Source organism: Homo sapiens, chromosome 3 (genome assembly GCF_000001405.40).
Source record: "Homo sapiens chromosome 3, GRCh38.p14 Primary Assembly".
Taxonomy (NCBI): domain Eukaryota; kingdom Metazoa; phylum Chordata; class Mammalia; order Primates; family Hominidae; genus Homo; species Homo sapiens.
The window spans coordinates 112,458,409-112,484,856 of NC_000003.12; the positions used below are offsets into that span (position 1 = coordinate 112,458,409).

Genomic DNA, 26,448 nt, shown 5'->3' on the forward strand with positions numbered 1-26,448 from the left:
CAAGCATCACCACTCTTAAGCAGGGCTTAATGAGACAATCCTGAGATGGTTTCAGCACAGATCCAAGGCTTTCTTATGCATACTACAGAGTCTAGAACAATCCCAAATTCTTCTCCATTGCTCCTCAAGTTGGTGCTGTGGTAAGAACATAGGTTCTGGAATCAGATTACTAGGTTGGGATTTAGTTTCTATCACTTATTAGTGATGAGAACTTGGACAAGTTACTTGATGACTGTGTGCCTCAGTTTCCTGATCAGTAGAATGAGAATGATAACCGCTTACTTCATAAGGTGACTGTGAGAATTAAACAAGTTGTACATTTAAAAGACTTAGAGCAGTGTTTGGCACATAGACAAGCAATAAATAAATGGTAGATATCAATTGTTATAAACATTTTATTATTGTCAAGGGATCATCAAGAATTACAAGAGGTAAAATATTGTGGAGTGCTTATAAATATATGATTACGAGCCATAGAAAGCCCTAAAGCATAGGTCTCAATTTCATATAGCAGTTAGTCAATCTGTGGGCCAGCTCCACTATTACTTGGAATACTTCCTTGGAAGAGATTGACTATAATACTTCTTAATTTGAACTTTTTAACTTTTTTTTTGAAAGATGCATAATAAACACCAATATTATTCAAATAAACTTAGGAATCATATGTTGTCCAATCACATTATAGCATACTATTCAAAGAAAACACACATTTCCAAAAGTTTAAAGAACAACGCAGTCTGTCATTATCCAGTTTGGAGCTAACATTTTTAATTGTTTTAAGGTAGATTGTCAATGGCAAATAAGAAAGTTTGAGGTTTCTAACCTCTATTTGGTTGTGACCTCATAGGGTTTGCTAAAATTCTACTCAATACTGTTCTTCCTTGTATTTAACCCCAAATAAAATCATTTATCAACTGTTAAACATAAGACTTGGATAAGTTTTAATAACATTGTCTAAAATAAAAATAAATTTTATGCCTTTATCAGCATGTCAGTTGTGCACATCTGTGATAGCCAAGAAGCTTAAAGAGAAAATCGTTGCCAATAGATCTTTCACAATGTTTTGTATAATATACAGGAAAGAACTTTGGCTACCTACATTGTATTTAAGTGGCAATTACAACCAAAATTGGTGTTATATTTTGTAATTCCCTCCCCATAACCTACTCTACAGCCACTGGCTGCCTGGCCAACAATCTCAGAATGTGCCATCCTGTTTTGAATGGCTCTTTTCTGCACTTAAAATTCTCTCCTCCCTTTTTTCTGGCTCTAAGAGAAGGCACAAATGACATTTTTTGACTTCCCTGAAAGAAGTAGTTGTTTCTTGTTTTTAATTCATTCAGTTCAGTAATTTAACATTCAGCAATTACTTACCATATTCCCAATCTAGGAAAAAGTCATTGTTTCTCTTTCCTCATGTTCTCACTTTAGCTTTGATATAAGGTCCTCCTATGATCTGCCCTCTTGCAGGCTTCTCCTTACAGAAAGAGGATTGATTTAACATACTGGTGTGATGGGCAGAGCTTCTCACCCTTTTAACCACATTAACCTCTGAAAGAACGTCTTGCATCAAAGGCAAGGAGGTTGTAGTTATATCTCTGACCCTCATCTGCAATCAAGGAAACTTGAAGCAGGCTGACATTCCCCACATGACTGGCTAGGTATCTTTCTGTAGACATAACTCTCCTATAAAGGGGTCCCAAAGTCAAGCAAGTTTAGATGGGGGAATGGGTAGGAAACACATTTTGGTTTGGGGCCCAAGCTGTGCTTGTCAATCCATCTTTATTATTAATATTATCCCCAATCTGACTCTTCCATTTTTCAGTTGGCTAACAATCTGTAGAGCCAGAAGAATGTGATTATTTAGGGTTCCCTCAAAACCCTCAGTCTCAGAAACATGAACTCTACTACAGTGAACAATATACATAGTTCTTATACTCAAGAAACTTAATATTCGATGGTGTTTTCACAACATTTTGCACCTATCTCCACAACAGAATTCAACAATGAGATTATAATTTTTTGTTTAACTTCTACTTCTTCATCTATACCATAAGCAGTGTCAGGCAGGAATGAAATCTTTCTCAACCATACTAACCTCAGAACCTAGCAAACTGGTAGGTGCTAATAGGTGGTTATAAATTGGGTGCAGATAAAACAATTGCCATGGAATGTTTCACCTGACCAACTTCAAAATAAGGGCCTGATTTTAAAGATTAACCCACAGAACTTATTTTTGAAACTGTAAGTTGATTTCTAGCACAGGACTTTCAGTTCTCATGTTCTCAGGTTTAGCAAAACTTCTATAAAATAGTACTGTGCTCTCTCACTTGTCATTTTTACTTTGTGGCCTTTCCTGTTTCTGCCTAAAATAGAACTTTCTAAATTAGTCTATCCTATAAATGTGACTTGGAGTCCTACCACACCTGACTTTGGGTGGGGAAAGATGGGTTCATAAAGGTTAAGTGGAACACAAGATTCACAAACATCAAAGTGCATACTGATTATCTGAAGATCTTGCTAAAATGTCGATACTTATTTAGCATGTGAAGGCTGAGATTCTACATACTAACAAGCTCCCAAAGGATTCCCATGTTACTGATTTGAGGGCCATCTTTTGAGTATCAAGAGAGTAGATGACTCACTTTGCAAACACAGTCATTCATTAATTAAACATTATTTAATCATAATATGCGCCAAACACTGAGCTAAAAAACTGAGGAAGAATGTGACATAGTCCTTGCTCATAAGAAGCCCACAGTCTAATATTATAGGAAACATAATAAGAAATAAGTGCTATGAATTATACTGAGAGGAAGAGAAGCCACATACTGAAATAAATTGTTTGCCAGTGGGAGCTAAACAAATGGCACACATGGATGTAAAGATGGAGAAAATAGACCCTGGAGACTGTGGAGATAGTGGGGAGGAGCTGAGGGTTGAAAAATTCCTACTGGATACAATGCCCAGTGTTTTGGTGATGGGTATACTACAAGCCCAACACTCACCATTATACATGTAATACCCATGTAACAAACATGCACATATACCCCTTGAATCTAAAATTTAAAAAAGAAAAAAAAAAAGACTACATGCAATCTAGAAAAAGAGACATATTTGATAAAGGTTGTTATCAAAACTATACAGAGAACTCTTAAAATTCAACAAGAAAATGAACAACCCAGTTAAACAATGGGCAAAAGATCTGAACAGACACCTCACTAAAGAGGATACATGGATTACAAATAACTATATGAAAAGATGCACAACAGTGTATGTCATTAGGGAATTCCAAATTAAAATAATGAGATACCACTACACACCTATTCGAATGGCAAAATTCCAAAACACTGACAACACTAAATGCTGGTTAGGATGTGAAATAACAGTAAGTCTCATTTATTGCCGGTGAAAATACAAAATGGTACAGTTACTTTGGAAGATATTTTGACAATTTCTTACAAAACTCAACATACTCTTACCATACAATCCAGCCATCATCCTCCTTGGTATTTACCCAAAGGAGTTGAAAATTGAAATGTGAGTCATAACCATAACAATGCTGTCTCACACCTGTCAGAATGGCTACTATTAAAAAGTCAAAAAATAAGACACTGGTGAGGTTGCGAAGAAAAGGGAACACTTATACACTGTTGGTGAGAGTGTAAATTAGTTTAACCATTGTGGAAAGCAGTGTGGCAATTCCTCAAAGAGCTGAAAACAGAACTACCATTTGACCCAGCAATCCCATTACTGGGTATATATCCAAAGGAATATAAATTGTTCTGTTTTAAAGACAAATACATGCTTATGTTCACTGTAGCACTACTCACAATAGCAAAGCATGGAATCAACCAAATGTCCATTAATGGAAGACTGGATAAAGAAAATGTGGTACATATACACCATGAAACACTATGCAGCCATGAAAAAGAATGAGATCATGTCCTTTTCAGGAACATCGATGGAACTAGAAGCCATTACCCTTAGCAAACTAAAGACTATTGCATGTTCTCACTTATAAGTGGGAGCTAAATGGCCGGGCGCAGTGGCTCAAGCCTGTAATCCCAGCACTTTGGGAGGCCAAGGTGGGCGGATCACAAGGTCAGGAGATCGAGACCATCCTGGCTAACAGGGTGAAACCCCGTCTCTACTAAAAAATACAAAAAAAAATTAGAAAATTAGCCAAGCGTGGTGGCGGGTGCCTGTAGTCCCAGCTACTCGGGAGGCTGAGGCAGGAGAATGGCGTGAACCCGGGAGGCAGAGCTTGCAGTGAGCCGAGATCACGCCACTGCACTCCAGCCTGGGGGACAGAGCGAGACTCCGTCTCAAAAAAAAAAATAAAAAATTAAAAAAAAAATAAGTGGGAGCTAAATGATGAGAACACATGGAAATATAGAGGGGAACAACAGACATTAAGGCCCACTAGAGGGTGGAGAGTGGGAGGAGGGAGAAGATCAGATAAAATAACTAATGGGTACTAATAGGCTTAATACTTGGGTGATAAAATAATCTATACAACAAACTTTCCATGACACTGGTTTACCTGTATAACAAATCTGCCCATGTACCCCTGAATTTCAAATTGAAGTTTTTCTAAAACCCTGCACACAAATGTTTAGAGCAGTTTTATTCATAATTGTCAAAACTTGGAAGCAACAAAAATGTCCTTCAGTAGATGAACAGATAAACTGTGGTACATTCTGACAGTGGAATATTATTCACCATTAAAAAGAAATGAACTATCAAGCCATGATAAGACATGGGGGAAACTTAAATGCATATTACTAAGTGAAAGAAGCAAATCTGAAAAGGCTACATGGGGCATGATGCCAACTGTACGGCACTCTGGAAAAGGCAAAGCAATAGAGGCAGTGGTTGTCAGGGGCTTGGAGGGAGTGATAAATGAGTAGAGCACAGAGGATTTTTAGGACAGTGAAACTATTCTGTAAATCACTATAATGGTGGATACAAGTCATTATACATGTCAAAACCCAAAGAACTGCAAGTGTGAACCCTCATGTAACCCATGAACTTTGGTTGATAATGACATGTCAATTCTAGTTACTGATTGTAACAAAGGCACCACTGAAGTACAGGATGTTGATGATGGGAGAAACTGTGCATGTGTGGGGGAAGACGGTATAGAAACTCTCAATGCTCACCGCTTAGCTTTGCTGAACCTAAAAGTGCTCTGAAAAAAGTTTATATATTTAGCAAAATAGATATGATCGCGCCAGAGAATTCATTCTGGGGACTAGATAGTTTTGGTTGGTGCACAAAACTGATCAAATAAACCACATATACCAAACCTAGCCTCTACTAGTTTTCTCAAATTGTGGACACTGGGAAACATATTAAAATTGGTTGGCATGTCTTTTAAAGATGATGATTAAAGAGCCATTTTCTAGACCTCCTGAATCAGAATTTCTTAGTGCTGCAAGTTAATAGTCTGCAGTTTAGCAAGTTATTCGGGTCGCTTTTATGTGTCAGGGGGTTTAAGAATCAGTATTCTATTCATGTCCACACATTTTGGGGTACAAAATCAGATGCCAAATTGATTTCAAATAAGTTTTAATAACTTTACCTTCTCATTGAGCACAATCACAAGCTTAAAATTTGTGAAAAACCATTAAATTATCTACATATTCTTTTTCTCAAACCCTCTATAAACTAATGAAATAAGCCATGTAAATAATAGTGAAGTAGAGTCATTTGGGAAAATGCATGTATGTCTCTGACACCATTTTGAAAAGGAATAAAAACATAAATGATTTGTGATTTTGGCAAACAGTACAAATATATTAATACATCTTAGAGATGAAATCATTATCAGCATTATCTTTACTATAAGACATACTAAGGATATTTTAAATAAGACAGAAATATTTTGCTTTTAAGTTTGAGAGAATCATGAAGGAACTGTTCAATTTCGTGTGTTCATCTGATAAGAGGACAGCTAAATGTATCCTCCCCATATTTCCTGTTTCTATTTTTAAGAATACCACAAGCAGCTATTCTAACATGTCTTTCTTACATAAGTTGTCCACAAATGCAGCCTGGCTAAAACAGCCTATCTCGAATTGGTTGCTTGAAATTCTAGGTGTAATTGGCAAAATAACAGTGACTCAAAAGAATATTTGCACCCCCAAATCTAAGGAGCTAAAACTTAATGCCAGTGTTACTTAAGAAAATCTCTCCACCACAAAACCTCAGTTTTGTCTTTTTGTATATATACCCCACTTGTATTCTAAACTCCATAATTTCACATATTATTTTCTTTAATGACCCATTTACTCTAGTATTTTGAGCTTCATAAGCAAACTGAAAATATAATGTCAATTTGATCAGTTTCTCGTGCACCATTTCTGTTGTCACCCACCCCACCTAACACACACACACACACACACACACACACACATCACATTCCTTTGTGCAGCAGCTCAGCTCACATATTTGTTGAAATGGATTTTAACCTTTGCTATCCACTTTGTATGAAGACTATTACATTATTCAGTAGCAGCACCTGAGAATTCGAATAGCCTCAAACTGTTGAATAAAATTATAGGCTATTTTTGAAATAGTTTAACTCAAGTACTTTGGAAAGTCCAAAAATCTGAATCCATCTTTTGCTATACTCTTAAGTGGCTGCAACCTCAGTATTTTAAAATAAATGATTAGCAAACTAAAATATGTCACTACAGATGATTTGCCCTGATTCCTTAGTAAGAAGAACAGCAAGATGCAGATGTGGTGAATGAAAGCAAATTGACCCCTACAGACCAATTAAATATTCTGGGTTTTCCTCCATTCCATTAATTGCACTTTAACTTGCTATCAAGTCAAGCATGAAGCAGTTTAAGCTATCTTCACTTGCCCAGTGATACCTATTCTGACTAACTTTTAAACTATTCAGATGCCCATAAGTATATTAATTCAGCAGCATTATGTCACATTCCTATCCATTAGTCTATGTGACCCAGTGAGTCTCTACTTTCCTCATAAATGTGCTATACGTTGACTGCTCCATTAATACCTATATTTGCTTATCAATCTAACAGAGTAGATATAAGCATTTGTTTGCCAGGTATGTGGAACATCTACCCTATATCCAATTGGTATATTCTATATTTTTATTGCACCATTTATTATTTTCATTTTCTTACATCAAGCCTAAAATGATTTCTCCTTTGCATTTAAGAAACACCATTCTTAGACTGACACAGCAAAAATTTCTTATTTTGGAAGACTGACTTGAAATATACAATCATTACTGTATTTATGGTTGGTTAGTCAAATTGGGACATTTTGTTTTCAAGAGTGTGTAGTGAACTGATGCAGGTAACACAAACCTCTTTTCCCTACAAGTCTTTCCAATAGCTTCAAAGGCAAGATCGAGTTTGTATATTGGGTAAAATGTAGCTAAGTTTAAACGTTCTACTATTCTGCTACTCATGATGTCAACCAGTTTTGGAGAGATTTTGTTATTCAAGGCTATAATATAAAAAGCTCCCAAATAAGTTTCTGAGAGAAATTTTAATCATTTATCCTATGGACCCTTAAGACCCAAGCACTAACATGAACATTTCTAAAGTAAAAATTCTCAAATTGAGAAATATTATTTGACATCCTGTTGAGCCCAGACAATGATGTCAACATGCTGATCATTCAATGGTCCCTGTTGGAGTCAGAAACAGACTTAACTCCTCACACATATGGATGCATATTCTGTTGGTGCTTCTTTTACATTTCTTGCCAGTCTTGAGTTCGGTCCAATGACAGAATGGTTCAGGGAAGCATAAACAATGCCTGGTTTGTTTTCTTCCAGGCATGGATTAGAATAAACTTCAGACCCTTCCTGCATCCTGAAACAAAGGTCAGGGTCATTATCATAAATTCCAGTTTCTGATAGCAGTACTTGGGAATTTTGCCTGGTGCTTGCTTCTGTTTGCTCACTCTTAAGGTGAGCATCAACCTACAATAGAAAAAAAGATGGTTTTAAGTGACACTTACGGCCATGGTAGTGCATATTCATTAGCAAACTATGAATGAAAAGCTTAAATGGAGTCATGTCCATTGTGAGAAATAATCTACTGTTCCTCACATACTCTGCTGACATCTACACTTTCAGCTAAATTTCAATTATTAAAGGATGAAAGGCTTGAGAATCACTATGTCACCCCTAAATAGTTATTTTGTGCTTTATTACTGGTCACTTTTGAGGTCACAGAACATTTTTTAATCCCCCTTCAAGATAAAAAGCATAGCCCAAATTGATGGAAAAAGCAAAAAATATCCTATGAAAACTTCAGGCAGTTTATAACATGATGAATAGTATTTAATGCAGTTTAGAATAAAAAGATTAAGGATAAAGCAGAACAAATACCCCCTAAGAGGGCAGAAACAATAAATATTATGAGTTAGCCAAGATATATTATTATAATTTGAGACCTTAAATTAAAAAATTGATGTCAGTTTTGGAAAGATAAAGCTTAGAAAAAGTTCCAAAACAGTATTCCAGTTGTTATTCCTATCAAAAGAAAATTCTTCTTTTTTTTTTTTTTTTTTGAGACGGAGTCTTGCCTATAGCCCAGGCTGGAGTGCAGTGGTGCGATCTCGGCTCACCGCAAGCTCCGCCTCCCGGCTTCACGCCATTCTCCTGCCTCAGCCTCCCGAGTAGCTGGGACTACAGGCGCCCGCCACCTCGCCCGGCTAATTTTTTTTTGTATTTTTAGTAGAGACGGGGTTTCACCATTTTAGCCAGGATGGTCTCGATCTCCTGACCTCGTGATCCGCCCGCCTCGGCCTCCCAAAGTGCGAGGATTATAGACGTGAGCCACCACTCCCGGCAAGAAAATTCTTACCGTTTCAAATATAGCCAAATATCTTAGAGCTTCTAAGAAAGAGGTGAATTTGTAAAAACAAAAAGTAAAATTAGTCCTGATGTTTTCTCACTCTTCAGTTATTTATTAGCCGCTCCTACCTATACAAAGGTTCACCTGACAAAGAAGATGTGTTCATTCTAGGGGCTATTTCAGTTTTTTAAATTCAAGTTTTGCCCATCGATTTCCGTTCTTGACATCTGGCCTAACTCCTTTAAGGTATCAAGTCCACTGTCTTTGAAAGTCAACATACTTTGTCTGGTCCTTTGTCATCCTCATTGTGATGTGTGCAGTAGGATGTCTATGGCAGATTTCCTTGGCAGAGCTCTATCATGCAAGCATGTCTGGCTTTACCCTGAGAAGCTATGTAAGAATTCCTGATACAGTGCCACCCTCTGATGTGGTGGCTGCCCAAAAATAACAGTAAGGCTGAGCGACTGAAAGAGGCAGAGGCTGCTTGGCTAAGATAAAAAGTACTCCCAACTCCACTGAAAAGAGCCTGGTTGAGGTCAGTAGGTGGCACACTAAAGAAGACTGTCAAGTGAACTGAAAAATAGCCTTTAGTCCTCAATATATCAACAAAGATCCTGTGATACTTTTCAATCTGTTTAAGCCTGTCAATTGGGTTCCCTGTCTCTCATCCCAAGAAATGGCTCATTTCCATGAAAAATTTTGTTAAAATGAATGGAGCAAAAGAAAATATAGTGCTCTGCAGCACCCCTGCTGTGGCACCCCGTCAAAGTGGCTGGGTGCCACAAGGCCAATGCACCACAATGTGGTGGATAGAGATGATAAAGCCAGAAACAGCAATCCCACCTTACATTCCTATGGCAGGTTACAGTATACAAAGCATTTTAAAATTTGTATTTATAGTATATGTTTAGATGTAATTCACATGCCATAAAATTCACCCTTTTAAGTGTACAATTCAGTGGTTTTTATTAGGCAAGCACTTTATACCCTCAAAGGACCGTTTTGGATTAAGATCAGAGCTTTGGCTTTTATATGTACCTGTTACATTTGTACCAGTTCCTTTCCTGTCATGTTTATACCAGTTCCTTTCTGTACTTTGATTTCTCCACAGTTCCCAAACTAGTTTTATGTTAAGAAATATTTAGCCCCAAGGGTATAATATGGTATCCTTTTGATTATTTTCTGAAATGCTAGACAACTGAAATGGGGCAAAAATCTTCAAATTCCTGTTAATAGCAAAAACGCTTTAAAACAAACTTCCCAGACAATTGCACATACAGAAAATACCCTTTTGAATTAAGCTTCAAATCATAATTTATCCAGCCTACCCAGGAAGAACAATGTCCACAGCTTAACCAACCTGGGTTTTACTTGCACAGTAAATTATTTAGATTTTTATCTTAAATAATTTCATAGCTCCCTGGCCTTATTGTAATCAAGTGAAATTTTTATTATTATTTACTATAGAAAGAAAATAATATTTAAGAAAATTTCCCTATTTGAGGGAACAAAGCCTTAGCACCCTACACAGTGCCTACTGATGCTAATGAAAACTTAATAGAAGTTTGTCAAGTTGAGTGTATTTGGTCTGGTTTAAAATTAAGCAGCTTGGTGGGGAATGTTGAATGCCATTTAATATTATATATAGAATTATTGGCTGTATCGATTTTGTCTTTTGTGGAATTTTTAAGAGGGTTACTACTTCTTTATCACTATTCCTCCTTATTGAAACACACACACACATCAAGTTCCTTTGCAGTATCTCATTTATGACTGTTTAGTTTTAATTAGAGAGCTTCAGAATGCTTTTCCACAAATATATTGCCTCATCTTGCATTCTTTTTTAGTTCTAATATCTCCACAACATTCAACTCAAAAGAAAAGCCTACATTTACATTCCAAACCTTATAGGAAAGATTGACTCCAAAATTCCCTTCCTTTAGTCTGAGTGGTCCCTTCCTTGATGAGCCCATACACATTGCCAGGGACCTCTGTGTAATAACTAAGCCAAAGATCATGTCTCTATTTTGCTGGTGCTATTTATGAAGATATCTAATCATTTTATGAGGTTATTTGTGGGTTCATTCTTTCATCAGCTCCCTACTCTCTTCCAGAAAGACCTTAAGGTGTTTACATAAAAAATAAATGAATAGCCTGAAGCCACATAACAGGCAAGAGCAGAGTCAAGTTTGTATGGTTCAGTCTCTGACTTTTCTGTCTTGGATCTAGACTGCCTTCCATGAACTTCCAAAGAACCACTTATTACGAGACTTGTTAACCCTAAAGAGTCTTTGCTGCATAGAGAGCAGAATGCAAAATTCACATTTTTAAAAATGGGTCTATGTATATATATATATATATATATATATATATATATATATATATAGTACATAGAATAATGCCTGGCACATGGTGTTATATAAATTCATTGAATAAATAAATAAACACAGTATAACACAAATTGCATTTGTTTCAACAGCTACATCAAGCTTACCAGGTTAATTTCCCTTCCTGCTGTGTCAGAGAGTTCATTTTGCTTTCCTGGAAGACAAAAAGAAAAAGAAGTAATCAAAAGGAGTAAAGAAAGCAGAAGTAAACCACCTTGCCACCCATGCTTATCCTGTTGAATGCCAGGGATAGTGTTGTTAGTTTTGGCTTGTTAATTTGCTTTGCCTAGCACACACTTGTTTGTGATAATTCACACTGACCAGCTCTCTCTCTGGTTCATCACTTTTCAGTCCACATAGCCCCATGGCATATCTAAAAGGAAGGGGAGGGATCTAGTATATCACTTGGAAGAGACTGGAAGTCCTTGCTCTGGGGACATTCCATACTCAATGCCAGAAATGCTGCTGTCCTGTCACCTATGTAGCCAAGATCTCCTACTACCTAGTTCACTTTGGATGTGGTAAATCAAAAGATTTATCCCTGACTCCTTTTCTGAAGTTCTGAGAGAGGTTCCAGCAGTCTCAAGAAAGATGATGAAAGATACAGAGAGGCCATAGAAAGAGCCATGGAGTTGCAGATGAAGAATTGGGGTAAGAGAGAATTCTTCAGAATCCAGAGAAGGTTCTGAACTCCAGAAGTTCTCACTCCAAAATACCAGAAGCACTTTTGCCCAGTCAAAGGTTATTCCTGTGTCACACAGAATAAGTGTTGCTCTATCTAGCTCAGTTTCTATAGCTACACTGTAGCTGGTGTTGTGAAAACAGGAATGTGAGAGGATGGAGGAGAAGAAAAAGGAAAGAGAAAACTGAAGTAGTTCAGGCCAAAGCTAGATCAGAATTCTCTATGCTTTCCTCTCTTACTTAACATATTTGGTCATGACATTGAGAGAGTTCTTGCAAAAGTAGAAAGGAATTATTTTCAAAATATCACACCATTCCCATCATAGCCAAACCCACATTTTTCATATGCATTATTGTTGGGTAAGAATTCAGGTCAAGCATATGTTTATAATGGCAATAGAAAATACAGACATATTAATTTTCTCTGGGGACATTGGTTCTTCAGTTACATAAGGGTGTGTGTGGGATTGGCATGATGTGGTGTGGCTGTGAAAAGAGGATAATACAAAATAAAGCAGATATCTTGATCTGAGAGATTGTTTCAACTTCCAATCCTGTTAAGGTTTAGAAGAGCTCTTTCTCACACAAACCTAAGATTGATGCAAAGAGAATGATGAAGTCTCAGCAATGTGCTATGCTCGCCACAACTCTAGCTGGAATACTGTGCGTGGTGAGCATGCCTCTCCCGTGACTCAAGGGAGCCCCAACCAACCTATTTAGCTTTTTAGCGCAAATATGAGTTGTCTTCTAGGAAATCATTATCCATGGTTTACAGGATTGGGAAAGAAAACAACAGGAAGAAACTAAAAATCCTTTAGCCCCAGAAATAAGAATGGCCCCAAATGTGTGGTACTGGGGGCAGAGGGAAAATAGAACCCACCTTGGTGCCTTCTCAGGCAGCAGAACAGGCAGAAACAGGTAGTGATGAGTAGAGGCAATCCCCCCAAAGGAAGTAAACGATACAGGAGCCAGGGTCTGCTTGCCATTTCGTCCTTGGAGGGTCGTTCTGAGGCACTTTTTACATCTGGAATGTTAGTAAATGCTAAAGAGAGTTAGGAAATCTGAGATATATTGGGATCAGCGGCACCCCTCTGCATTGTCAGAACTTGAGTGAAGGAGATTTCAGGCCAATGCCTCCATTTCCCCTTCAGAGGCATTCCTCAAGAATCCCAGTGCCCTCAGCCACCTCTTGCTTTCTTGCTGAGCAGACGTGGCTCTGCGATAATTTATCTTTTGCAGAAATTCTTTATTCTGATAGAGTTAATCTTCCACAGAACAATCTTCATGATAACTGTCAGAAGGTACTTCATTAAGCCTTTCTATTTACAGTATCTAACTCTCATATTCATCACTTAAGTAGGAAAACCATTGTCTTTATTTTGTCCCAAGAGTTGCTCCAAGTCAGATAGCTAGTGAGTGGCAATGGGAACTCAAGCCAACATGTTTGTAACAGGAAATTCAAGTTTCTTCAACACAATGTCCTTTCCTTGTCTCGTAACTTATCAGAATCTCCAAATATCAAATACTTTTGATAGCCTTAAAAGTGCTCTGCATGGCACACAGCTAATGCGCATTACTATTGATCAATGTTAATACGCATTGAGGCCCTGTTTGTCTGCAGTTGTTCACAGCTCATTAGCAGGTTGTGAAACAATTTAGTATGTCACAAATAGCATTTTAAAAAATGAAACAGAAGAGGATAGAAATCATCAGAATGCATCACACACACTAGAGCAGTGGTTCTCAAGCAGGGAACATGTGTGGCAATGTCTGGAGACATTTTTGGCTGTAACAAGGTAGGGGGAGGGAGGCTGGCAACCAGTGAGTAGAAGCCGGGGATTCTGCTAAACACCCTACACTATACAGGATGCAACCCCCACTTAGTGCAACAAAACATTATCCAGACCAAAGTGTCAATGGAGAAACTCTGTCTTATGGTTAAGTATGACCTTATGAAACTTTTTTATATTTGTGTGCATTATGGGTTGTGATGTAAGATCTGGTTGTTGTTGTTGTTGTTGTTTTTTTTAATTTTGGGTTACAGTTAACACAGTATGAAAAATACTGGAGTAAGATATTCTAAGGTCTGGCCTGGTGGCTCACACCTGTAATCTCAGCACTTTGGGAGGCCGAGGTAGGCGGATCACTTGAGATCAGGAGTTCGAGACCAGCATGGCCAAAATGGTGAAACCCCGTCTCTACTAAAAATACAAAAATTAGCTGGGCGTGGTATGCACCTGTAATCCCAGGTACATGGGAGGCTGAGACAGGAGAATCGCTTGAACTCGGTAGGTGGAGACTTCGGTGAACCGAGATGGTACCACTGCACTCAGCCTGGGTGACAGAGTAAGACTCCATCTCAAACAAAAAAAAAATTCTATTAATTATATTATAATGTTATTTTGTTTGGCTAGATGCTTAGGTTTGGGGTAAAAATGATTAGAGGCAACTGAAGTTGCACAAAAAGTGGTTTGGTTATTCAGAGTGGTAACAAATGTTGTCTATTGATGTTGCAGCTGCTGTTTAGGTTAGCGAGCAGCCAAACCACTGCCAGGAGTGCCAGAAACAGCTGCCTGGGGGAGGGTCTTGGATAGCAATGGGGACTAAGGTTTCTACAACAGATACCCTAATACAAACAGATCTGCTGGATCAAGAAGATCCAACTTCTGTTATTTCTTTAACCACCAAAAAAACCTAATTTCCTTAATTTTACTTGATTAGTTTGATCAAATAAAACTAATTCAGAACAAACTGTTTCTCTATTTCAGAACAAACTCAAAACTCCCCCTAACTTATTTTGAGTTTGTTCTGAAATAGAGAAACAAGGTAAATAACTGAAATTGATTGAGAAAATGATGAGGGTGTACTCTCACGTGTCCAAAACCAGAGCTAGCCTTGGGGAGGATTCCAGTGTTTGCACACTACCAGAGAATCCAACAATCTATCTCAAGATCAGTAAGCACAATTTGTGGAACATCAACCCCACGATCATTGACACAAAGTAAATATCTGGGCTTATTTTGAAGCTCACTGAAAGACTGTAAATACAACGCAATCTTTGTCTGTCTGCTTTGATCACCTCTTCCCCATTCCTTAAGCATAAGGACACAGTATAGTCTGCACAATGATATCTCTGGCACCTGGAATAAGAAGAGGCACATTCAGCAGGTGCTCCAAATCAGGGTGGAAGCCCACAAGGACTTCCTGCCCTCTCACTCCACACCCACTTTCCTGCCACAGATAATGATCACATTTTGGGGAAGTTCTTTTTTTCTTCTTCTTTTTTTTTTTTTTTTTTTTTGAGATGGAGTCTCGCTCTATCACCCAGGCTGGAGTGCAGTGGTGCAATCTCGGTTCACTGCAGCCTCCACCTCCTGGGTTCAAGTGATTCTCCTGCTTCAGCCTCCTGAGTAGTTGGGATTACAGGCGCCTCCCACCGTGCCCAGTTTATTTTTTGTATTTTTAGTAGAGATAGGGTTTCACCATGTTGACCAGGCTGATCTCAAACTCCTGACCTCAAGTGATTTGTTCGTCTTGGCCTCCCAAAGTGCTAGGATTACAGATGTGAGCCACCACGCCCAGCCTTGGGGAAGTTCTTAATCTGAAACTGACCAAGGGAAGTTTGGGAAGGGTGAAGTGGCAGGCCAATGGATGTTTCAAGGGCTGTTCCCCAGCTCTGTCAACTTTTCCCCTAGGACTTTGGCTTGTTGTGCAAGGTGCTTTTCTTCATTCTGGGAGAATAGTGCTTTCCCAAGAGCATCCAAGCCCCAACTCTGTCACAGTCCTGTTCTTACATGAACTTTTAACTTGAACATAAACAGCAAAAGAAAGTCACTTATAAAAACAAGAAAATGTCCAAAATCACTTCGGAAATATATTTCACAGGAAAAAATAAAATATTTTTTATCAGACCTCCAAAATTTCTTTATGAAAAGCATGGTCCTTAAACATATTTCCAAAATATATTTTTCTCCTCACCTTATACTTAGTTCACTGAGCACTTTCAGGTTCAGAAGGAAAAGGAATTTTTCTTTGACCCTCCCTGTTATTTTTGTTTTCACCACTTCACTAAAGAAAAATGCACACCTAGATTAAATTAGTTTTAAATCCACACAGAGTTTAAATTAAAGTTAATTCCTAAACAATTTACCTTTTGTGAAGGAAGTTAAAAGAAAAAAAAAAAAGAAATATTACACAAATTCCAGCCTTCCAGGACATTATAATCTTTCATGGGACCTAAAAGACATTTCCACACATTACTACAGTGAAAGGAAATGATAAATGAGAGGCACAGACTTAAATGGCATAAAAATTGGTAAAAAGGAGTGATCCCTTCCCCTCAGGTGATCATGAAAAGCTTCCTTAAGAACTTGGAAAATTAGCTGAGATTGAAAGGAGGGGTAGAATTTCCATAGGTGGAGACAGATGAATGGGTGCTCTACAAGTGGCAAGAGCAGCATACACAGGGCAATGATGGAGATGTGGTTATGGCAAGTAAGGCCGTCAGGCTGCAATTGAGAGGCTGTATATGGAATCCAGAAACAATCTAGAAAGGTGGTGGGATCAAACTGTGGAAGACTTTGAATGCTGGTTAACAAAGATGAGCCCAATATTGTGACCACTGGGGATGCTATGCAAGAGAGTGTTGTTATGAAGGAAGTGTATGAGGTAATTTAAGTGTATTTGGCTGAAATTGACCAAAATGGGGAAATACTAAAGACAAAGAGTCCAATCATAGAATTAATTGGAATTATTTAGAAGGAAGATAATGATGGTGCGAGATGCTTATAGAAGCAATTGGAGGAAACACATCACAGAGTGGAATGTTGTGGAGAGACAAGAGTAGGAAGCCAAAGAAAATTCTCTGGGATTTTCCATGAGGATCAAGAGCATTAATTAACAAACTGATAAGGAAGGGAGTGATAGGAAGGATAGGTGAGTAGGAAACTAAGAGAGTAGAAATGTTCAAAAAGAAACTGACAAGGCCCTTCATGTCTCCTATTTAGCTCTTAGACTTTCTCTTTCACCACTTCATACTTCACATACTTTGTTCCATAAAACCCCCCAAGGCACAGGATTTAGGAGGGAATGTTATTCCCTTTCCCCTAAAGTTGGGTTCTTTCCTCCACAAAATAGATAGATTGTTGATCCTAATCTCAGCCCCAACTTGATCCCTAGAACAGGCACCTTTATGCACTTTACAAACTACAGATTATCTTTAGTCATCATGAATGACCCAAATATGGGATAGAGCAGAAATTGCAATGCTACTTTTGTGTAACAGACTTTTGTATCACAATTAATTATTAACTTCTGACCTTTCATCTGACCTTGGCTAAATTCATGTCTCGTATAGAAGTAGATTAGTTCCCATAAAGAAAGACTGAATTACACAAGGCTTCTCTTCCAAGGAAGGTGGACTCAATGCCTCAAAATTTAATTTTATTATACATTATGTTAATATATTATATAAATTAGTTAATAGCACTTATTTATTCAATAGTATATATCATTCTAGAATTAATATTTTGCAGATTTTCCTTATTTTTGTAATTTATTTTACCTGTTTAAAAAATAGTATTTGTTAAAAATTCAATATTTTGTCTCATTAATGTGAATTAATAATGCAATTCTTTCCAGAAAGTGTTCATTCCATACATCCTTAATATAGCCTTCTCCAGGTTGATGAAGACAATTTTTGTGCTTTGCATATACTATGTTCTTTAATTCATTTACAAAGAAATATTTAGTGAGCCCCTACCATGTGCCAGGTACCCTGCCATCCATCATACAGAGCAAAGATGTTTAAGACACAGCTTCCATCCTGAAGAGGTTTATAAGCCAGTGCATGGATGGTCACAAGTAACTAGCACCGAGCTTCACGCTATATTTGCAAAAGCAGAGTCCCTAACTCTGCCATCGATTTCTTCTATATTTCATAATTGAGGGTTGTAGCTACTGCTAAACTGCTATGCATTTTTTCATGGTGCTGCTGTAAGAAATTTTAAACTAACCTAAAGCATTTTAAAAGAATTTCAATGGATTCCTTCACTGGGCTACTTTAAGGGAGTTGAAAGACACTCAAAAGTAAGCATATAAAGTAACAAATTAATTTTAAAAAGATCAGTTGTAAAATGTATGCATTCAAGTGAATGATGTCCATAAAGGAACTAAACTGTACGAGGTTGCATCCAGAGTTCAGCCATGCTGCTATTGCAATAACCCTCTTTTGAAATTTCTCCTTCCCAGTAACTTTAAGGGTCAATTTATGAGCAACAAAAGAAACTCCACATTATTTCTTATAATTAAAGGGCACTCTTCTTTGATCCAAATATATTTTTATTGTGGTAAAATACATATAACATAAAAGTTACCAATTTAATCATTTAAAATGTACAATTAAATGGCATGTAAGATACTCACAATGTTTTGCAAACGTGACTACGATCTAGATTCAGAACATATTTATCACCCCAAAAGGAAGCCCTCTACCTATTTAGTAGTCATGTCACATTCTTTATTTCCTCAGCCCCTGGCAACCACCAAGCTACTTTCTGTCTCTATGGATTTGCCTATTTTGGATATTTCATATAATCAGAATCACATTGTATGTAACCTTTTTCTTCTTTTACTTAGCGTAATGCTTCTGAGGTTCATCAATGTTGTAGCATACATTAGTACTTCATTCCTTTTCATGACTGAATAATATTCCGTGTGTGGATAAACTACATTTCCTTTATCCATTCATCAGCTGAACATTTAGGTTGTTTCTACCTTTTGGCTATTGTGAATAGTGCTGTGATAAACATTCAGGAACAAGGTTTTGTGTGAACATATATTTTAATTTCATTTGAGTATTTACCTAGGAATAGAATTACTGGGTACTGTGACAAGTAGGTTTTATCTTTTGATTTTGAGGAACTGTTAGACCACTTTCTAAAGTGACTGCACCATTTTACATTCTCCTCAGCAATGGATAGGGTTTCTATTTCTTCACATCCTTGCTAACACTTATTATTTTCTGTGTTTTTTTTTTTTATTCTAGTCATTCGATGGGTGTGAAGTGGGTTTTCACTGTGACTTTGATTTGCATTTCTCCAGTAACTAATGACATTGAGCATTTTTTTCATATGTTTATTGGCCATTTGTATATTTTCTTTGATGAAATGTCTATTCAAGTCCTTTGCTCATTTTAAAATTAGGTTGCCAGTCTATTTGTTGTTGAATTTTAGTATCTTTTGATGCACAGAAGTGTTTAATTTTTATGAAGTCCAATTTATCTATTTTTGGTGTTATTGTTGATTATGCTTTTGTAATCATAGCTAAGAAAACACTGCTAAATCCAAGATCAGAAACATTTATCCCTATGTTTTCTCCTAAGAAATCAGAGTTTTATTGTTTTATATAATGCAGTTTTTATAGTTTTAGCTCTTCTACTTAAATGTCTGACTTATTTTGATTGCTTAAAATATGGAGTGAGATGAGGGTTCAAATTAATTCTTTTACATATGAATATCCAATTATCCTGGCACCATTTATTGAGACTATTCTTTCCCCACTGAATAATCTTGGTACCCTTATCAAAAATCAATTGACTACGGATGTATGGAGTTTATTCTGGACTCTCAATTCTATTTACATTGATCTCTTTGTCTATCCATGACAATACTATTCTTTTTTTTTTTTTTTAACTGTCATTTTGTAGTAAGTTTTGAAATAGGGAAGTCTTAGCTTCAGTTTTGTTCTTTTTCAAGATTGTTTTGGCAATTCTGGGTCTGTTGCAACTCAATGTGAATTTTAGGATCAGCTTTTTTATTTCTGCAATAGCAACAAAAAGCTGTTAGGATTTTAGTGGAACTGCATTGAATCTGTAGATCACCTTGGGGAATATTGCTATCTTTACAATATTACATCTTTCAGTCCATGAATACAGAATGTCTTTGCATTTATTTACATATTCTTGAATTTCTTTCAGCCATGCTTTCTTTGTTCAGTGTACAACTCTTATACCTCTTTGGTTAAATTTGTACTTAAATATTTTATTCATTTTGATGCTATTGTAAATGGAACTGTTTCCTTAATTTTCTTTGTGGATTGTTTATTGCTAGTGTATAGAAATATCACTGATTTTTGTGTGTTGATCCTGTATCATGTGGAATTGCTAAATTCATGTATTAGCTTTAATAGTTTTAAACAAATTTTTAAGAATTTTTCTACACATAAGTTCATGCCATCTGTGAATAAAGTTTTACTTCTTTTTTTCTAAGTTAGATATCTTTTATTTCTTGTTCTTGCCTGTTTGCTCTGGCTAGAATTTTCAGTTTAATGTTAAATGGAAATGGCAAAAGCAAGGATCCATGTCTTGTTCCTGTTCTTAGGGGGAAAGCTCTAAGCCTTTCACCATTGAATATGATGTTGGCTATAAAATTTTTATAAACCAAGTATTTTTTACTCTTACCTACTCCCCCCCTATGTATTTTTTCATGTTTTATTCAGCTTGGTTTCCCCAAGCTTAACTTCTATCTGTCCTTCCTCAGTTGTCAAAGCATATTAAAGGCCTCTTTCGGGGAACAGGGAAGAGAGATGAAGCTCTGAATATTCCCAGAAAATCACTAGGAAGTCAGTTAGTTGTTTGCTGTTTTTCCTCTAAACAAACTGTGAACTATTAAGAAGTGTTTAATTGCCTAAGCACCACAAACATAACTTCAAGAAATTGTAATGAACAAAAGTAAAGAAGAGAAAAATGGGAAAAAGAGAAAAAAAAAACAACAAAGAAGGACAAGCAATCACAGAGCTATTCGCAACTATAGGTATTCACTTTATAATTTTTTCAATATTTCAGTGGTCTACTTTTGGACTTATCAAATAAATTTTATAATCCCTAAAGTCAAAAACAATAACTTTTACTATCTATTTCTCTACTCTCCTCTATCTCACTCACCTCAAACGCACACATACACACACATATGTACACACTGGCACATAACAATCTGTGAGGTGTAGCAGATTTCAGATGTGCTATAGGAGTTGGCTTTCTAACATAATCACTTGAGAAACTGAACCCCCCTCTTCCTGGAAACATTATAAGAAAAATATCAGATGGTCTAGGTGTTGAGAACTCACCTGTCACATAAAGAGTTGTTGAGTGGCTTTCAATGAGATTAGACTGAAAATTTGCAGAACAGCGGTATGACCCATTGTCATTAGGAAGCACTGGTTCAAAATGTAGAATGAAAAATGAAATGTTCTTCTCTTCCTTCCAACTTGTTTGTCTATCTTCAAGTTTTACACATGTTGTTCCATTGAGCTTGCACCAAGTCACATGAGGCCTGTTAGCACAGTATTTCACAGGGCATTCTAGTTCAAAGGGATCTCCTGCTAAGATGGAGTGTTCAGATTGTCTCTTTATATAAAGCTGTACATCACATGATTCTTTCCCTAAAAGATAAAAACAAAACTAAAATCAAATATGTTCTTCTGGAAGTACCATATATATGTGACTTCAATAGTTCTCAAGCATTATTTGGTAATTTTCAAAAACAACCCCCCAATTTCTAGTAATTAAGCCTTACTAGCAGAATGTCTCATACATATTAGGCATATAATAAATATGTTTAAAAAATGAAATAAATCATTTAATCCTCTGTCTGTCAGGCCTTTGAGCCCAAGCTAAGCCATCATATACCCTGTGACCTGCACGTATACATCCAGATGGCCTGAAGCAACTGAAGATCCACAAAAGAAGTGAAAATAGCCTTAACTGATGACATTCCACCATTGTGATTTGTTTCTTCCCCACCCTAACTGATCAATGTACTTTGTAATCTCCCCCACCCTTAAGAAGTTTCTTTGTAATTCTCCCCACCCTTGAGAATGTATTTTGTGAGATCCACCCCCTGCCCCCAAAACATTGCTCTTAACTCCACTGCCTATCCCAAAACCTATAAGTACTAATGATAATCTCACCATCATTTGCTGACTCTCTTTTTGGACTCAGCCCGCCTGCAAGGTGAAATAAACAGCCTTGTTGCTCACACAAAGCCTGTTTGGTGGTCTCTACACACGGACACATGAGACACTGTCTTAGTCTGTTTTCTGCTAGTATAACAGAATACCTGAGATTGGATAATTTTTGAATCACAGAAGTTTTATTTGGCTCATGGCTCTGTAGGCTGGGAAGTCCAAGAGCATGGTGCCAGCATCTAGCAAAGGCCTTTGTGCTGCATTATCTCATGGCAGAAAGCAGAAAGTGGAAGGGAGCACACAAGACAGAGAAAAATGGGGGCCAAAATTTATCCTTTTATCAGGTGCCTACTCCCGTGATAACGAATCCATTCCTACAATAAGGGCATTAATACATTCATAACCTCTGATCTCTTAAAGGTTCCACCTCACAAAACTGTTACAATAGCAATAAAATTTCAACATGAATTTTGGAGGGGGCATTCAAACCATAGCATTCTGCCCCTGGTCCCCCAAAACTCATGTTCTTTTCACATACAAAATACATTCATTCCATCTCAATAGCCCCAAAAGTTTTAATTTATTGCAGAATCAATTCAAAACACTAAATTCAGAGTCTTATCTAAACCAGATATGGGTAAGATTCAAGGCACGATTCATTATGAAGCAAATTCCCTCCAACTATGATCATGTAAATCAAAACAAGTTATCTACTTCCAAAATATAGTGGTAGGACAGATATAAGATAGATATTCCCATTCCAAAAGGGAGAAATAGGCAAAAATGAGAAAGTAACAGTTCCTAAGTAAGTCCAAAACCCAACAGAGAAATAAAATGGCATTGCTGGGCTTGGTTGATGCTTCAGCACTCACAAGTTGGAGACTCCTACCTGCAGCTCTCCCAGGCTAATGCTTCAGGCTAATAGCTCCACAGTTCTGGGGTCTCAGTGGCAGTCCACTCCCATGGCTCTACTAGGCACTGACATGGGAGTGGACTCTTCCTGGGCCCTCAGGCTGTCCACAACATCCTTTGAAATCTACATGGAGGAAGTTGTGTTCCACACCTCTTGCATTCTGCTAGCCTGCACACTTAGCAAGTGGGTGCCACCAAGGCTTACCAATTGCACCTTATGGAGTGGTGGGTTGAACTGCACCTGGGCTCACTTGAGCCATGGCTGGAGCAGCTAAGGAGCACTGTGCTGGAATTCAGAGAACAGAAACCTGAGGCAGATCTGGGCAGCAAGCCTGTAAAGGGCATTCTAGTTTCCCCTGAAATCAATTTGCCCTCTGAGCTCTGAGCCTATGATGGGAGGGGCAGCCTCAAAGGCTTTGAAATGCCTTCAGGGCCTTTTTCTCAACTTCTTGAATAGTACTTCACTCCCTTCTATCCATATTAATCTCTTTAACAATGGTCACTAGGCCACACCCTTAGTATTTTCTCCCATTCATGCCTTTTCACTTTTTATATGGCTAGGCAGTGAATTTTCCAAATCTTTCTATTCTGCTTCTCTTTTAATTATAAATTCCATTTTTAAGTCATTTTTTTCCCTCCTGCCTCTTACTGTATGCAGTTAAAAGTAGCCACACAGCAGCCTAAATGCTTTGCGGCTTAGATATTTCTTCCACCAGATATCCTGAATTATTGCTCTTAATTTCTGCTTTCCGTAAAGTCCTAAGACATAGATACATTTCCACCAAGTTCTTAGCAACTGTATGACAAGAATGGCCTTTACTCCAGTTTCCAATGGCTTGTTTCTCATTTCCTTTTAGTTATGCACTTGGTGTTGATTTGTATTTTTTTATTTTCCAGTAAAGTTAAGGCTAAGCACGTGATCCTAAAAGTATTTTCTTTTAAATTATTTTTTTCTCCACTCTTACAGTTCTTTCTTAGCCTTTCTTTCTATGTTTTGAACTACCGTCTCTCTTAGCAATGTCTAGTTCATCTCCTTCATTTATTTATTTCACTCATTTTCATGCATTCTTCTGAATAGATGTACAGTATCATACATTAGAATGACATAAGTGTAACAGAGATGATAGCCAAAACTCTCTTTTAAATACAAAGACAGCTAAAGGCCTTGCCTGTGATCACACAGCTTGTCAGATGTTGAACCAAGGAGCAAATTTTGACCCTGAGTTTCTCATACATGTCTATCCAGAACAAGGTTTCACCTTATTTCTACACCCTTGCCAGCATAAATATTCTCATTTTATCTATTTCCTCACACCTAATACACCTTTCACTCACATCCTACTTAAAAACCCTTCCTGCTCACATCTCATGAATCTCTGCTCAGAATAATAGAAACCTGATTGAGTTTCCAGGAATCAGAGTGAGAAAAAGGACCTGCAGACAACTTTTAGAACCTCTTAATATTTATTTATTTATAATTGCTTTGAGACCTCAAGCAAGTTCACTTTAAGACTTCTTAATTCAGTTGCTTCCAAAAGTTTAGAACTAAAATGAAACCAAACTGAAAGGTAAGTTATAAGGATGAGGTTTTCAAAAAAATGAAGAGAAAGGGTAAAATATTTTACCAAAAGGAAGTGTACCTGAATGTGGTTAGACTTAGGACAAAAAAAGTAAGAAGGCCAGAGGCAGAAAGGTCAAGTGAAACTCTTGTTTCCAGAAGTCCGTTCCTCTCCCTGAAGTTAATAGACTCCCTCAGCCTCCTAACTTCCCTTTTCATTTTCTTGGATAAGTCAATAATGGTTTATGGAGCCTCTAAGTCTGTGCTAGAATTATAAAAAACAATGAGATGGTTATAGACAAAGATCTTTTACCCTCAAAGAGTTTACCATTTAATTGGTAAGCCCCAGGAGTATCTAACAAAGAGGGCACCTTTCTTTTTTTTTTTTTTTTTTTTTTTTGAGACAAGAGTTTCACTCTTGTTGCACAGGCTGGAATGCAATGGCATGATCTCGGCTCACCGTAACCTCTGCCTCCCGGGTTTAAGCGATTCTCCTGCCTCAGCCTCCCGGGTAACTGGGATTACAGGCGCCCACCACCACGCCCAGCTGATTTTGTATTTTTAGTAAAGACGGGATTTCTTTATGTTGGTCAGGCTGGTCTTGAACTCCCAACCTGAGGTGATCAGCTCATCTCGGCCTCCCAAAGTGCTGGGATTACAGGCTTGAGCCACCACACCTGGCCAGAATCAATTTACCTTCTAGACACTTTTCTAGAATCAATTTACTATATACCAGTCTTTATTTCTTTCAGTTTACTGAGCTGAAAGCAAGCCTTGAGGGACGTTGCATGCTGGTTGTTAGGAAGCCTAGGAATAAATCAGATAGGATGTCTGCATTTGTGGAGCTTGCCTTCTAATGGGAAATAAAAATGAATGGCAATTGGGAGAGTGTTATATAACACTGTAAAGAGGTACAAACAAGGCCGGGCATGGTGGCTCACGCCTGTAATCCCAGCACTTTGGGAGGCCGAGGGAGGTGGATCACCTGAGGTCAGGAGTTTAAGACCAGCCTGACCAACATGGTGAAACACCGTCTTTACTAAAAATACAAAAATTAGCCAGGTGTGGTGGTGCGTGCCTGTAATCCCAGCTACTCAAGAGGCTGAGGCAGGAGAATTGCTTGAACCCAGGAACTGGAGGTTCCAGTGAGCTGAGATCATGCCACTGCACTCCAGCCTGGGCAACACAGTAAGACTCTGTCTCAAAAAAAAAAAAAAAGATACAAACAACTTTGCATGGGTCTGCAGAAGGTTAACTTCAGCCGGGGCAAAGCTTCATGGAAAGGCTATACTTGAGCTGAACCTTGGTGAATGAGTAGCCCTTTGGCAATCAGAGCAGTGCATGGGACAGAGGAGGTATTTTAAGAGTGAGGAAATGGAACGGAAAAGTCTTAGGGACCAGGAATCTCATGATAGATTTAGATCATTGATACACAACTGGATCATGGTTTTCTGACTTAGTGATATGGAGACCACTGGTTGTTTCAGAACAAATGGAATAAGCATTAGGCAGGAGTTTAAACTTTGCTTATCCACCATGAGAAAATACAATGCCTAATTTTGGGGGGATATTTATAAAGGGCACGGAAATAGCTACAAATGAGACTATTCATTTGAACATGTCTGTTTCAAATGCTAACACATTGAGCGAATTTGATAGTCCCCCAGTTTTGCTGGTCCTCAGTTTCTTCAAAATAAGATGAAAGGATTGAACTGTAAAAGTAGGAAAGTTCTAACTCACCATCCCCTGACCACACAAACACACACAACTTCACCTTCCTTAATGTGTGACTGAAACTACGAAACCACTTCTAGCCTGCAATTTCTATTCCTATCACAATATATTACCTTTCTATTTAGCCATAGGGCTATCACTTGATGTTAGTGGCACAATTAGACATCACTTCAAGTTCTGTCTTTTGTGACTGTATGCTCCGGAGCAGTGCGCAAAGTGGGTTAGGGGTGGAGAAAAGAGCTAGCTTTTTGTGTTGGTGGCATCACTGATTCACAATAGGATTATGGAAACATTGCAGTTCCTAAATATTCTTATCAGCAGGATAATGATCATTGACAACCACACTGACTGGCACAGG

The 26,448-nt window shown here is 37.7% G+C and overlaps 1 protein-coding gene across 5 annotated transcripts in view, besides 3 other annotated features; it reads right to left on the minus strand.

The window, feature by feature from the left end:
• Positions 5,107 to 5,246: an enhancer, noted in NCBI's record as "active region_20240". NCBI's record gives its function as "activates an Ori minimal core promoter by ATAC-STARR-seq in GM12878 lymphoblastoid cells {active_cell/tissue: GM12878}" and the evidence as "EXISTENCE:reporter gene assay evidence [ECO:0000049][PMID:35858748]".
• Positions 5,558 to 26,448, minus strand: part of BTLA (B and T lymphocyte associated) — a 35,659-nt gene continuing 14,768 nt past the window's right edge. For 2 of the 5 annotated variants that reach the window (XM_017005748.3, NM_181780.4), the window contains 4 exons: positions 21,047 to 21,361; positions 12,804 to 12,947; positions 11,350 to 11,396; positions 5,558 to 7,975 (listed from right to left, as the gene is read on the minus strand). In XM_017005748.3, the coding sequence (XP_016861237.1) occupies positions 7,700 to 7,975; positions 11,350 to 11,396; positions 12,804 to 12,947; positions 21,047 to 21,361 (782 nt within the window). In that variant the 3' untranslated portion in view covers positions 5,558 to 7,699. Of the gene's footprint in view, positions 7,976 to 11,349; positions 11,397 to 12,803; positions 12,966 to 21,046; positions 21,362 to 26,448 lie in introns of all 5 variants that reach the window. The other 3 variants (XM_047447496.1, NM_001085357.2, XM_011512447.4) reach the window with 2 other exon arrangements.
• Positions 7,684 to 8,199: an enhancer, noted in NCBI's record as "NANOG hESC enhancer chr3:112184939-112185454 (GRCh37/hg19 assembly coordinates)". NCBI's record gives its function as "activates a minimal SCP1, AML or CMV promoter by ChIP-STARR-seq in primed H9 embryonic stem cells {active_cell/tissue: H9 hESC(primed)}" and the evidence as "EXISTENCE:reporter gene assay evidence [ECO:0000049][PMID:30033119]".
• Positions 15,256 to 15,756: an enhancer, noted in NCBI's record as "H3K4me1 hESC enhancer chr3:112192511-112193011 (GRCh37/hg19 assembly coordinates)". NCBI's record gives its function as "activates a minimal SCP1, AML or CMV promoter by ChIP-STARR-seq in primed H9 embryonic stem cells {active_cell/tissue: H9 hESC(primed)}" and the evidence as "EXISTENCE:reporter gene assay evidence [ECO:0000049][PMID:30033119]".